Below are 14104 nucleotides of genomic sequence, written 5' to 3'. Positions count from 1 at the left end.
CAGAGTATGTATTTTCTTCTTAAAATCTGTGCATATTCTTTTGCTACTTCCAAAACTGGATCTTGATTCAGATTTTCCTTGTGTGTAAATCCTAGAGGAGAAGCTATATAGGATCCAGGTTCATATTTAGTAGCAGCTGAAAAAAAAAGCAAGAATTATATTATTATTATTATTATTATTATTATTATTATTATTATTGTTATTATTTTAAGATAGGGTCTCACTCTTTCACCTATGCTGGAGTGCCGTGGTGTGATCACAGGTCACTGCAGTCTCGTCCTCCCAGGCTTAAGCAATTCTCCTGCCTCAGCCCCAAGTACTTGGAACTGCAGGCATGAGCCACTGTGCCTGGCAAGCTTTTGTATTTTTTATAGGGGCAGGGTTTCGTCATGTTGGCACAGGCTGCTCTCAAACTCCTGGGCTCCAGTGATCTGCCTGCCTCAGGCTCCCAAAGTGCTGGGACTACAAACGTGAGCCAACATGCCTGGCCAAAGAATTATATTCTATATATTTCATAGTTAACTAAGTGCAAATCAGTAAAAAAGAGTTGAGAGCTTTTTCAGTGTTAACAAGAATGAAAAGTATGTATGACTACAATGCTAACTTATTATTAGATAAGAATCTGCCCATAGTTGCACACTAAATGATCATTGTGGTTGTGTATCACAGCTTCTGGTTTTCTCATTCTTCATTCATTTATTCAACAACCGCATGCTAAGGTACTAGACTATGCCCTGGAGTTACAAGATGAAGATGATACAGTCCACCCCTCAGCAATCACATGCTATAACCTGAAAAAGCAGACAAATAGGCAATTTCCATACCAAGTCATAGATACCCTGACAGGTATAAAACAGGGCACTATTGGAATGCAAGAGGGACACCTATCCCAGTTTTGTCTCGATACTGTAGGTTTTTCGGTGGAGGCATGGTTAGTGGATACCTGAAGGATGAGAAAAAAAGGTTGGCAGATAGAGCAAAGAAGCAAGTGCAAAGAGCTGGAGGAGAAGGACGAGCACTGTGGAATTCTGTGCAGTCCAGTTTGGCTGGATCCTAGAGCAAAGGGGCAGAGTAAAGTAAGTGGTGAGAGATAAGCCTGAGTAACTTGACAAGAACCAAATGAATGTGGGTGTTTATATTACATGTTAAGGAATTTGGAACTTTTTCTGAGGGCAAAAGTAAACCAATGACACTGTAAATGACTGGAGATTTAAAGTGTTACCTCTCAAGCGACTGCTTATAAACTGTAACTGCTTGAATAGGTTACTAGATGAGACTGGGATGTTTTGGCCTTAAAAATCACTACCATAACCCTGAGAAGTTGATGATGCCTCTGTTTTCTGAGAACCGTTTCTGTGTGCTGGCTGACAATTCCATAGGGATGGCAGAAGTGAAGAGTAGAGCCAGACTTCTTGAGCTATTTTTTTCAAGCTATGGAACGTGATGATTCATGAGGCATAAGTATGCTCTTCATTATACATGTTCAGGTTTTCACATCTTTCATTAGATGTATATGAAAGAATATTTAATGTAGTATCTACTAGCCCAAGAACGGAAAGGGATGTCGTTTGCAGTTTATTTCAGATATATATTAATCTAAATTTAATTCATAAATTTTGGTAACATACCTGCTACTTCTGCAGTTAGGTCATTTTGCAACTTCTGCTGCATCTGAAATAAGTCAAATATTATTTATAACGTTTAAGAAGAGACATTATCATGGTAAGGAGCATTAATTACAAAATGCGGCCTTTAAATAATACTTTTACAGACTAGACCTAACTTGAAGATAGCTTAAATTAAAAATATCATATAAATTCCTACCTATTTTAAGTTTAGATAATGGAGAACATATATGTGTTATGCTGTTTAGATTAATCTCACAAAAGTACAATTAATATTGGTCTGTTGGATCTATGTCATTTCAAAAGTGTGATGTTTTCCCTTATCAGTACAGAGGTTACACAATTCAAGTCATATTCTGCAATGAATGCATTACTTTCCCATTCTTATCAAAACTCTGCCCTTTATCAAGGTCTAACCAGTTTTTCACTTTAATGAATAGTTCCTTACAATGAACTCTCCATTCTCCACTTTTAGAAAATAATAATTTCAAAGTATGTTCTTTGCTATTAATTCAGCACAGAATCTTTAATACATACTTGAAGAAAGCAGTATTGTTGTGATGCCATGTGAAAGTTCCACTGGCAAAAGATTAAAAACATTATGCTATTATGATTAACATTTCTTCATTCATACGGACACAAAGATTTCAGAAAATTTACATAAAAGCAAGGATAAATACAGGTTAGAGCCAGTTTTCAATCTTAGTTTCTTTGATTCATGAGTGTCTAGAATTAAAAACTAGGAAAACAATTTAGAGTTATTTAACTACAACTTTGATTTCTTTTCAGAAATTAGTACCCATTTTTTAAGCATCTGACAAGTTATAGTTATCTACTTAATTATGAAAGGTGTGGGAATATTTCAAACTTATTGCCAGTGTCCCTATCTAGAGTGCTCTTATTTAATTTTTTTTTAGAATAGGTATTCTCTCACTAAATGCCTAGAACAGGGTCTGAGATAGTTTGTGGTGATAAAGATAATGATATCTAATGCCTTTACAAATTTTAGGTGTCAAGTCAATTTTTTTGTTTTACTAACAGGTTTACCAATATTTTGAGACTCCTTTCCATAACATTTCTGTGACAAAAACATTACAGATAGGCTTTATAGAGTAGGTAACATGACAACAGCATTACCATCCAGGCCTTATAAAAGTAATAATTCAAGAAATGATCCTTTTCAAGCTATGTCCCACAGAAATCTAAGGTTCCACAGAGGATGCTGAAGGATTAAGGGATAAGAAAGTCACAGCTTCAGAGCACTGATCCTTCCTTTAGTCAGGCAGCACTACTTCTGTTTTCTATAATGTGGTTTTATGCAATTTAAAAAAGTTCCATTCTTAAAAAAAAAAAGAGATTTACTTAAACGTATGAATGTCACTGATTTAGTCAAAGTCCTTAATTTTACATAAGAAACAAAACAGGCTCAGAGAGCCTGCAGCTTGCCTGAGGTCACAAAACCAATTAGTTACAAGGTAGGAGTGGGCTTCAGATCTTTCACTGAGCCTGGAGTTATTCTATGCCAGCACCTTCCTTCATATTCAGAAAAGAAATACAGATTTTTAAAAATAACTCAGGCTGGGCGCGGTGGCTCACACCTGTAATCCCAGCACTTTGGGAGGCCGAGACGGGAGGATCACAAGGTCAGAAGATCAAGACCATCCTGGCTAACACAATGAAACCCCGTCTCTACTAAAAATACACAAAATTAGCCGGGCATGGTGGCAGGCGCCTGTAGTCCCAGCTACTCAGGAGGCTGAGGCAGGAGAATGGCGTGAACCCAGGAGGCGGAGCTTGCAGTGAGCCGAGATCGTGCCACTGCACTCCAGCCTGGATGACAGAGTCAGACTCCGCATCAAAAATAATAATAATAATAATAAAAATAAAAAAATAACTCAGACAGTCCAGGTGTGGTGGCTCACGCCTGTAATCTCAGCACTTTGGGAGGCTGAATTGGGTGGATCACAAGGTTAGGAGTTCAAGACCAGCCTGGACAATATGGTGAAACCCCGTCTCTACTAAAAATATAAAAATTAGCCAGGCGTGGTGGTGTGCACCTGTAGTCCCAGCTACTCAGGAGGCTGAGGCAGGAGAATCGCTTGAACCCGGCAGGCAGAGGTTGCAGTGAGCAGAGATCACGCCACTGCTCTCCAGCCTGGGAGACAGAGTGAGACTCTGTCTCAAAAACAACAACAACAAAAAAAAGAGAAAATGCATCTATAAACTGTCATGATGCTCTATAATGTTTAAGCATGAGACAAAAAATAGTAGCTCTCCAAATTGTAAGTTATGAATCAAATTTAAAGAACAATTAATATCATAACTTCTGGCTAGTACCAGTCAAGACACTCAATTTATAAAGAACCCATTTTTCAAAACGCAGAACAGAAAACTTGAAGGAGAAAATCTTTAGTTGAACCAAGCAAGCAGAAATTAAGAAAACTGTTCCTTAAAAGAACTATTCATTCTCCTCCAAATAAGACGTGGTTTAGGAAAATCAATCAAGTCAATTATCCATGTTGTGAGTTACTTATAGAAAAACTGAAAACACAAAACAGATTTCTCTTTACCATCTACCACACGTCTGTCCAACTTCTAATCACTAATTTGTACATACAAAGACATGGGATTAATTTCAATTATCACTTAAATCCAGCCATAAATGATAGGAGAACCTTCATTTTCCTGGCCTCAGGTTTCAAATGAGGACTTAGACTCTCTCTACCTATAGCTTCCTCTTGAGAGGATATCAGATCTACCTAATGGGTGAATTTGGGCAAAGCACACAGTGTGCTTGCTTGGCTCAGGGTCTCTTTCAAAAGATGTGTCTGCCCACAGTGACATGAGTTCAGGTCTGCTGTCATCTCTGCAGTAAGCAGCATGCACCTGCGATGGGTGTCAAGCATTTGTTTTCTCCACTTAAAACTCTGTGGGTTAGTGCCTAATCTGGGATAAAATACTGTGGCTGCACATCTGAGCCACATCCTCCCATTAGTTATCATGAGTCTGTAATAGAGCTAGTGTGTTGATGTCCATCTATCTGACTCCTGTGTTCTGAACTCAGAAGGGAATGAGGAGCACCATTTGCTGCCTATCCACCACAGCCTGAAAAAGAACCATGACTGTATAACACTTATAGAAATAGTTTCTTCTTCCTTGACTTTTCTAATCTTACCATACATTCTTCACAACTACCTCCACTTTTTTTTTTTTGAGATGGAGTCTTGCTCTGTCACCTGGGCTGCAGTGCAGTGGCACAATCTTGGCTCACTGCAACCTCTGCGTCCTGGGTTCAAGCGATTCTCCAGCCTCAGCCTCCCGAGTAGCTAGGATTATAGGCGCCTGCCACCACGCCAGGCTAATTTTTGTATTTTTAGCAGAGACAGGGTTTCACCATGTTGTCCAGGCTGGTCTCGAATTCCTGACCTCAAGTGACCCACTCGCCTCGGCCTCCCAAAGTGCTGGGATTACACGTGTGAGCCTCCGCACCAAGCACTCATATCTTGATATAATCATGCTTTTAAATCTCTTTTAGTAAATCTAACATGATTGGGCAAAAAATGCCCCACAAGGAAACTAGGTATGCCTTGGAACTACTACATTAACATTAACTTTAAAACAAACAAATTTTCTACTTATCTAGAAATACTAAAAAATGAACACCCCCTTCCCCACAAAACAGAAATTAAAAAAAAAAAGTTCCTCAAAAATCTTCCCTTGCATCACATCTGCTTTTATTTATTTTATTTATTTTTTTCCCCCACCCATGAGATGGAGTCTTGCTCTGTCGCCCAGGTTGGAGTGCAGCAGCACAATCTCAGCTCACTGCAACCTTTGCCTCCCAGGTTCAAGCGATTCTCCTGCCTCAGCCTCCCAAGTAACTGGGACTGCAGGCGCACACCACCATGCCCAGCTAATTTTTGTATTTTTATTAGGTACGGGGTTTCACCATGTTGGAGGTTGGTCTCGAACTCCTGACCTCAGGTGATCCACCCACCTTGGCCTCCCAAGGTGCTGGGATTATAGGTTTGAGCTACAGTGCCCGGCCTACATCTGCTTTTTATACTCTCTCAGCACCATCTTGTAAAATGATACATTACCTTGTTTTTCTGGTAAGTATTGTGAAAGGAAAATATCTTGGGCCTCCAAAATCACTAAGCTAAAAGGAAAACTCAGGCTGGAAACTGCTTAGGGCAAACCTGCCTCCCATTCTATTCAAAGTTACCTCTCTGCTCACTAAGATAAATGCAGATCTGACTGTCTCCTTTGGAAAGGCTAATCAGAAACTCAAAAGAGTGCAACTGTTTGTCTCTCATCTATCTGTGACCTGGAAGCCCCCTCCCCGCTACCAGTCTTCCTCCCTTTGCTTCAAATTGTCCCGCCTTTCCAGAGTGAACCAATGTACTTCTTAAATATATTGATTGATGTCTCATGTCTCCCTAAAATGTATAAAACCAAGTTGTGCCCCAACCACCTTGGACACATGTCATCAGGACTTCCTGAGGCTGTGTCACGGATGTGTGTCCTCAACCTCGGCAAAATAAACTTTCTAAATTAATTGAGACTTGTCTCAAATTTGGGGGGTTCATAGTACTAATGAGAACATTATATTTGCATCTTGCTTAACCATTTACAGACGTATTTAACATTCATTTCCCATTAGTACCCAGTGGTACAATTTCGTGACTGAGGCATTTGGACGCTGATCATCTCATTTTTTTCAGAAAAATAAAACCTAAGCGAACAATATGATTAAAAATATCAGCTAGCTGGGCTCTTGTAATCTATGTATTAAAACAATCATTTAATGCATTCCCTTTTAAGCTATTTGGCCACAATGCTATCTAAGAAACCTTAGATTTGCTCTTCTATGATTTGTTAGGACACGAAATAGCCAGGTAAACACAACAAGGTTGAGGTTCATTCCATGTGGGCCTGCGCTACTTTTCTGTGCGCTAAGGAGATCATAAAAACATCAAAACTATAAGCCAATGTGCATCGATTGAAAATTTTAAAAACAACAATATACACAAAGAAAACTATTTATCTATTGTTGTTCAAACAAATGTTTTATGGATTTTGTAATTTTTTTAAGAGACAGAATCTTGCTATGTTACCCAGATTGGAATGCTGCAGTGCCGTAGCTACTCACAGGAATAATCATTGCGCACTGCAGATTTGAACTCCTGGGTTCAAGTGATCTTCCTGCCTCAGCCTCAGGAGCAGCTGGGACTACAGGTGTGTGCCACTGTGCCCAGTTTTTGTAATTTTCCCTCAGTTGAAAAATGGACAAATGTTAGACAAATACCTTAATCTGGGTCAAGCATAGTTGAACTACGTTTTGTTTTTTTTTTTCCTTACCAACTCTATAGTTGATACAGCTCGTCATTTTTGGATCCATTTTGAAATCCCCAGAAATAGACTCTTACTCTGAGTGAAACCACACGGTTGAACTAAAAGGTTCCTGTTACATGTCCAGGGGAGATGTCCATGTGCAGCTTTACATGGAATTTGGGGTATTAAGAATAGAACTGATTCTGTTTGGTCACATTTGCTATTGAAGGACTCTAGATACCATTGCCATCTTAGTCATCAATTACTAAAGTTATGGCCAGGTAGAGAGACAAAACTTATGTGAGCTTTACTTTAAAAATTCAAATATTTATTTGATTTAACTATTTCAAAACCACTGTGCTATTGCATAGCAACAGACACATTTTACTAAAATTGGGATTAAAACACTATTAAGTGCAATAGCAATTACAGATGTACTCATGTAAGAAAATCACAAAACTTTTAACTTAAAGAACAGATTAATCAAGTGTTGCAGGTTTATATAACATATAAAAGTGTTCACCTTGGGTCCTTTTAAATAATAAACATCCATGGGTGGTTAGTGTTTGGACACCAATCATTCACATATGATGACGGGTAGAAAACCTGAGATGATGCAGAAAAACTTTAAAAGTGACCCCAGGCACACTAAACCCATTAAAAGTGAACCCCAGACAAACTAAAATCAATTAGTAAGACAAAGCACATCAAAGTAAACCTTTGGTTAAAATCTAACTTAAATGCAGTTTTTAAAAAAATTTAAAATGTGTCAGTTTGGTTACATTTATTAAATAAAGTTAACAAAGGAGTAATCTCTTATGAATGAGAGCTCCAGAGACTTGAAAATAACTGTAAAATTTCTGTCTCCTCTCTTTATTAACACAGGTAATTATTACTTTTACTTACCATACACAAGACAATTAAGTAACTGAGTATTTTACCAAATAACATACAAGAATTCTATCAGAAATCTGAACGCCGAAGGAAAAAAGATAGCTAAACTTCAACAAGTAGCTCTCCATGTCCTTAAGAGCAGACCTCTTTTTTCTTGGAATATGTTTTCTGTTGAGACCTTCACTATCATTAAGATTTCCAACGCAAGGTGACTCTAGGACTGGCCTTGTAGCATAAGCAGTGAATAGAGATCTGGATCTGGTCTGCTCTTTCTCCACAGTAAGTTGTGTACTGACCTCTGCTATCATCTCATTAGTTCTATGAAGATTGCAAAAGACAAATGCTTAGTATTTCATTTTTTCCTAAATGATTCCTAAATGACTTCGATTGTTCTAAAAGTTGCCATTAAGAGTAAATGGAATATACCATAAGCCGTGTTTTAACTCTGAAAATGTGTTAGAGCATGCCTACTGTATCCAATTATAGTTTTAACATTGTTCTAAAGAAGTACATCTATTTCTAGAGGGATTTCTAACAAACAAGTAGTTCAAAGAGAGGGAGGGGACAGAAAAGACTATCAATGATGTATGGCTTCATAGTTAACACTTGTTGCCCATCTGGAATGACTCTACTTATACGATTCTTAAGGATGCCATTAGAATTACTTGTATTCCAAGGGTAACTATGTGAAATGATGAAGATATTAATTTGCTTGACAAAATAACCATTTCACTGCGTATAAATATATCAAAACATCAAGTTGTACTCCTTAAATATATACAAGAAAAAACTAAAAGTAAAAATAAAAGCTAGAAATACTTGTATTTAGTAAACAATACATGTTGTTAGAGATTGTCTAAAAAACTCTCTCTCAAAGACATTTTCAAACAATTGTTTTCACCACCCTTGTATATTTCACCCATTATCTGGAAAAACTTGAGCATTTGGCACTGAGGAATCATTCACGGCGACTTTTCCTTGGGGAGAATAAGACTGCTGAAATCAAAGAGAACTAAAGCAGCATGGAGGACAATCAGCTCCTAACACTGCGGCCCATGTATCAGAGGTGGGGCCTGCCCTTTCTGTCTTCCATATACCCCCTCAGGCTGACCAAGGTGTTATTTTTTATCACTTAGTAAGTTATACTTCCCTTCAACCCTAGTTGATCATTCTCTGCTTCACAAGTGTGCCTTTATGTGGATTGGAAAAACTATACAGGACACTTCTTCTCAAGGCACCCTCTAATGATCACAATCAAGCAAAGTGAATTTACTGAGTGCCAGAATGTGTCCAGAGTAGTCGTACTTGACCCTTTTGGTTTTCAGCTGTCGTCTTCCAGAAATTAATTAAATTCATTAGTATTTTGAATTAAGGGAATACTGACAAGCAATTTTTATAATGGTATCACTGTCTAAATTATGAAGCTTCATAAATATTTAGCTGAAACCCTAATAGATCAGGTTAACTATATAAGAATATTAAGGGGTGGGGGGAAGCCACATAAACCCAAAAAACAGGAGAGACAGGAACTGTCCTGGACTAAAGATTTTAAAGGTTACGTTCATTTACTATTTTCAATTTTACTTAAAGGTTAAGTTCATTTACTATATATAATTTACAATTTTCCAAAATTGTATGATCTAGTTAGCTTTCACTTCCCACAAATCTCATGAACCTGTCTCACTAAAAGTCATGCTTTTGAAGGCAAATTAATGAGCTTAACTTATTTTCTATGATTCTGCATATTGACTTACCTACTGAGTTCATTTGACAAGGATTCTCTAACTTTCACTTCTTCTAGGTAGAGTTCCTTATATCTTTCCAATTTGGTTTTATTAAAGTCGGCTTGCGAAGTTTTTATTCTGGAGATTTCAGATTCCAGATCTATGACTGTGAGTTCCATCTGAGTTTTTATTGAAGTAGTATTATCCTCCCTTAACTGTGCTAACTGTTCATGAGATACTGCTGCTTGTTTCTAAAATAAATTAAAAGGGAACATTTTAAAAGTAATTGTAACCTGAATAATTACTGTGTATTTGTTTCCTTTTGTTTGGAGTCAGTGATTCAGAGAACAATTTTAAGTACGTGATTCAGAGAACAATTTTAAGAAAAATGTGAAGAAAGAAAGAAGCTCAAGCTTAACATATTTATGACCAGTACCAACTGAATTAATAACTGAATCTGAATTGTTGAACAATTCTCCAAAGAATGACAGAACCAAGTTAAAATTTTAAAAGTGGAACAACGTAACTTAAAAGCAGTTCAAGAGTATGGTATAATTTCTAAATCACAATTTTTTTTTTTACTTTTTCTATTAGTCTTGTTTTATGCCAACTGGCTTTAGTAATTAAATGATTCTCTAGTGAGAATTATTCTTATGGAAGATCAATTTAGTTATAAGAATGATGGAAACAAAAATATTTAAATGGAGAAACAAATACCACCTTCCTTCTAGAAGTCTACCAAACAAATTGCTGTAAGGAAAGTAGAGAAAACATGTACAATGTATATATCCAAAATAAAATTTGCAGCGAAATGAATGAAAGCACATTACAGATAAATAAACCAACCTGCAAGGTGAGAATGGCTTCGTTTAATTTTTCTTCTATCTCCTTCCTTGCTCTTTCTTCAATCAACAGTTTATGCCATTCAGCTTCACCACGTTCTAACATATTTCTTTCCATATAACTTTTGAGGTTTACTACTTCTTGTTTCAGCTGCTTCTTATTCTTCTGTAGTGTTTCACATTGCTTTTGTATTGCTTTCATAGAGAATAATGTCTGTTGAAGTTGAAGAACTTCATTCTCTGCATCCAGATGTAGACATCGTGAAGGTACAGTTTCCTGTGCTTCTGTAAGGTCAATCTGCATGAGTAAAACAATATAGTTTGGTAATGAAGAAGGTAGACTGAGAATGGTCTAACAAAAAACTAATATTTTTTTTTTTTTTTTTTTTTTTGAGATGGAGTCTCGCTCTGTCGCCCAGGCTGGAGTACAGTGACGGGATCTCGGCTCACTACAAGCTCTGCCTCCCGGGTTCAGGCCATTCTCCTGCGTAGCTGGAGTAGCTGGGACTACAGGCGCCCACCACCACCCCTGGCTAAATTTTTTTATTTATTTATTTTTTATTTTTAGTAGATGGGGTTTCACCGTGTTAGCCAGGATGGTCTCGATCTCCTGACCTCATGATCCACTCGCCTCGGCCTCCCAAAGTGCTGAGATTACAGACGTGAGCCACCGCGCCCAGCCAAAACTAATAATTTTTGAAATAAATTCAGTTGCAATAAAATGTTACCTATACTGTTGTAGATTCATAAAATACAGACCCTTGGATTACTCAGAAAATTAAAAACAAAGTTAAAACCACCAGAATTCACAAAAATACATCCTTTACTTTCATCATCTTTGCCACACAACATTTGGACTTGATCTTAGACTTCTGTTTTCCTATGACGGTTTCATGGCTTTCCTCCTTAAAATGGCTCTAAGTTACCCCTTTAGCACAAAGTCTCTTATTCCTTTAACCCACTATCATTCTCCATAATTTGCAGAGAAGTTTTAGGGGCATCATATTGAATTATTTGGGCCTGAGTCAATAAATGGCTCCCATAATAAGACTCTGAAAATAAGACTCTAATTAATACATTTTGGAAAAAAAAAAAAAAAGGATTCCAATACCATAAGCCTTTTGCTGAACTGCAAATGTCTTACGCTAATTTGAGTTACATTTCAAAGAGTAATGATACTTGGAGTTAAGAAGCAATCACATCTCCCAGTATAAAAGTTCAGTGGCATGATCCATACCATTTTTCTGAAGAAAAATGCCTTAATTCAGTAGCACAATCTTGTAATTCATTGTTACTTTACACAAAATAAGGGAGCACATTAAAGAATGACAACAAAAAATTGCACTGAAATTTCAGTGGTGCTGAGTTGGAAATAACTGCTTTCCTTTAGAGGAAATAATTATGATTGTCTTTTATTTTATAAAGGTAAGTGAAGTGGTGGTTTTAAAACATCTACAAATTGCTTGCCACTTCTCCCATGACATTCCCTCTCCTGAATACAAGCTGGCATTGACAACCGGCTTCTCCGGAACACAATGTGGCAGAACTGCTGTGTGACTTCTAAAGTTGGTTACAAAAAGTCACACAGCTTCTACCTGACTCTCTCTCTAGGGACGCTTGTCCTTAAAATGCAGCCAACATGCCGTGAGAAAGCCCAAACCACACCGTGAACCCTCATGTAGGTAGGTGTTCGAGCTGACTTCCCTACCTAACGTCCCAGCCAAAAGCCAGCTTCGAATGCCGCACAGGTAAATAAACAAGCCTTTAGATGATTCTAGTCCCCAGCTTTAAGTCACCTCAGCTGATGCCAAGTAAAGAGAAAGTGAGTTGGACCCACTGAGCCTTGCCTAAAACTGCAGATTGTGAACAAAATAGATGTTGTTTTGAGACACTGCATTTTCTTATATACCAAGAAATAACTGATACAGATATTGACACTACATATAGATTGCACAACAACAACACAACAAAAACTACTAAAACATGTAGGACTACCATTGGACCAGGAGCTAATCAGAAGCTAAAAGGACCTACAGAAGAATAAGCACAAAAACAAGAAGAGTTTTAAAGAGACTGTTAGTGGAAGCCTGATGGTCCTCGAAGAAGCTGGTAGGAAGGGCTTCAAGGATAGTGAAGAAGACGATACGGGAACCTGAAGGAAAGGGCACTGTTACTACACAGCCGCTGAAAGTAAAACCAATGCAAGAGATAAGCTAAAGAAAGACTACTACATATAAAAGAACCAGGACTTTCTAGGTTCAGTATCCTTTTTATAGCCTCTCCACATGTCAGATTCCCAAATATAGACAGTCCTTGACTTAGCATGGTTCGACTCACCATTTTCTGACTTTTTATAATACTGTGAAAATGATATGTGTTGAGTAATGAAATGATATGTGTAAGCCTTTTGGCTTACAGGGGTGGTTACATCAGGATAAAGTCACTGTAAGTGGAAATTATCGTAAATGGAAAACCCACCCATAACTTCTGATATTTGCAATTTATGATGGCCTATAAATTGCAAATATCAGACATAACAAATGCAAATGCCATCCAGACATAAACCCATCCTAATCTGAGGAGCATCTGTATTGCTGAAATAAATGGCCTCTGAGATAAGATCAAATCCAGGGTGCCGCCAGGAGAAAGTCTGAAGGTGAAGCCAAGACTGTCAGTGTAAGGCCCTATTTTAAGACCTTAGAAAGATTTAAGGTGGTGCCTCAAATTCCCTTAAAGATCTTAAGGGTATAAGCATCTTAAGGCACTGTCCTACTACACAGAACAGTGTGCTTCCTTCACAGGAAGCACAAGGTGAAGTGCTTATCTCAAAGAGATTGGGACAAGTGGTTTTTCCAATGACAAGAACTCAAGTAAAATTCACAAGAGACTCTAAGAGAATTATAGTAACAATAGCACTGCTTGCTAGCTTGGCTTAAAAGACAACAAGACAGTAAAAATGAAGAGAGGCCTTAGGACCTAAGAGGTTCTACAGGGAGGAAGCTGGCTGAAGAAACTACTTAGCTGAAAACACAGGTCATTGCTTATGAAAAGGATACAACAAAGAGCCAAGAAGGTATCACAAAAAGCCACAGAGGATGGTTCCCATGAAGTCCAAATCAAGTAAGTGGAAGCACACATCAGGCTGTATTTCAGAATTTCTATGGTCTAATATTCCCTTTGTGACTCCCATTTTCTCTCTGTTCAATAGGAGGGTCTCTGGCAGTTTAGGAGAATGCTGGGTGGGTGAGTGGTAGACAAGTTGTCCCTTTAGTTCTTACGTCTTTGTGTTGACAAGAAATGCACTCAAGGGGTTATACCGCAGAAACCACAACCCAGGGTGCATCCCTACCATCTGTGATAAAGATGGTAGGGTCTTGCACTTCAAGCCTGAGCTTGCTGCCATATTAAATGAAACTTGTGTGTGTGTGGTGGGAGGTTAGGATCTTGCACTTTAAGCCTGAGTCTGCTGCCATATTAAATAAAACCTGTGTGTGGGGTGAGAGGTAATAATTAGAAATTAGTGTGTTTTTCAAGTGGTAGAAATCTTTTAAATTATAGTTATAGGGTCAGTTGTGCAGGTTTTAAAACATGTCTATACATTCCTTAATATGCACAGCATAGACAGAGACATCATCGAGATGGCTGACTGGGAATACCCAGCACTCACCTCTTTCAAAAAGAAAAA

At 37.8% G+C, this 14104-nt stretch overlaps 1 pseudogene across 1 annotated transcript in view; it reads right to left on the bottom strand.

Moving 5' to 3' along the window:
* CCDC144CP (coiled-coil domain containing 144C, pseudogene) overlaps nt 1-14104 on the bottom strand; it is an 81018-nt pseudogene continuing 66914 nt past the window's right edge. Inside the window, exons 13-16 of the transcript NR_023380.1 lie at nt 10424-10717; nt 9608-9828; nt 1629-1671; nt 1-136 (exon numbers count right to left, since the gene is read on the bottom strand). The product of NR_023380.1 is annotated as a coiled-coil domain containing 144C, pseudogene (transcript). The remainder of the gene's footprint in view (nt 137-1628; nt 1672-9607; nt 9829-10423; nt 10718-14104) is intronic.

This window comes from Homo sapiens, chromosome 17 (assembly GCF_000001405.40).
Source record: "Homo sapiens chromosome 17, GRCh38.p14 Primary Assembly".
Lineage (NCBI taxonomy): Eukaryota > Metazoa > Chordata > Mammalia > Primates > Hominidae > Homo > Homo sapiens.
The sequence above is the reverse complement of the archived record's forward strand: the minus strand, read 5'-3'. Positions and strand labels throughout refer to the sequence as shown.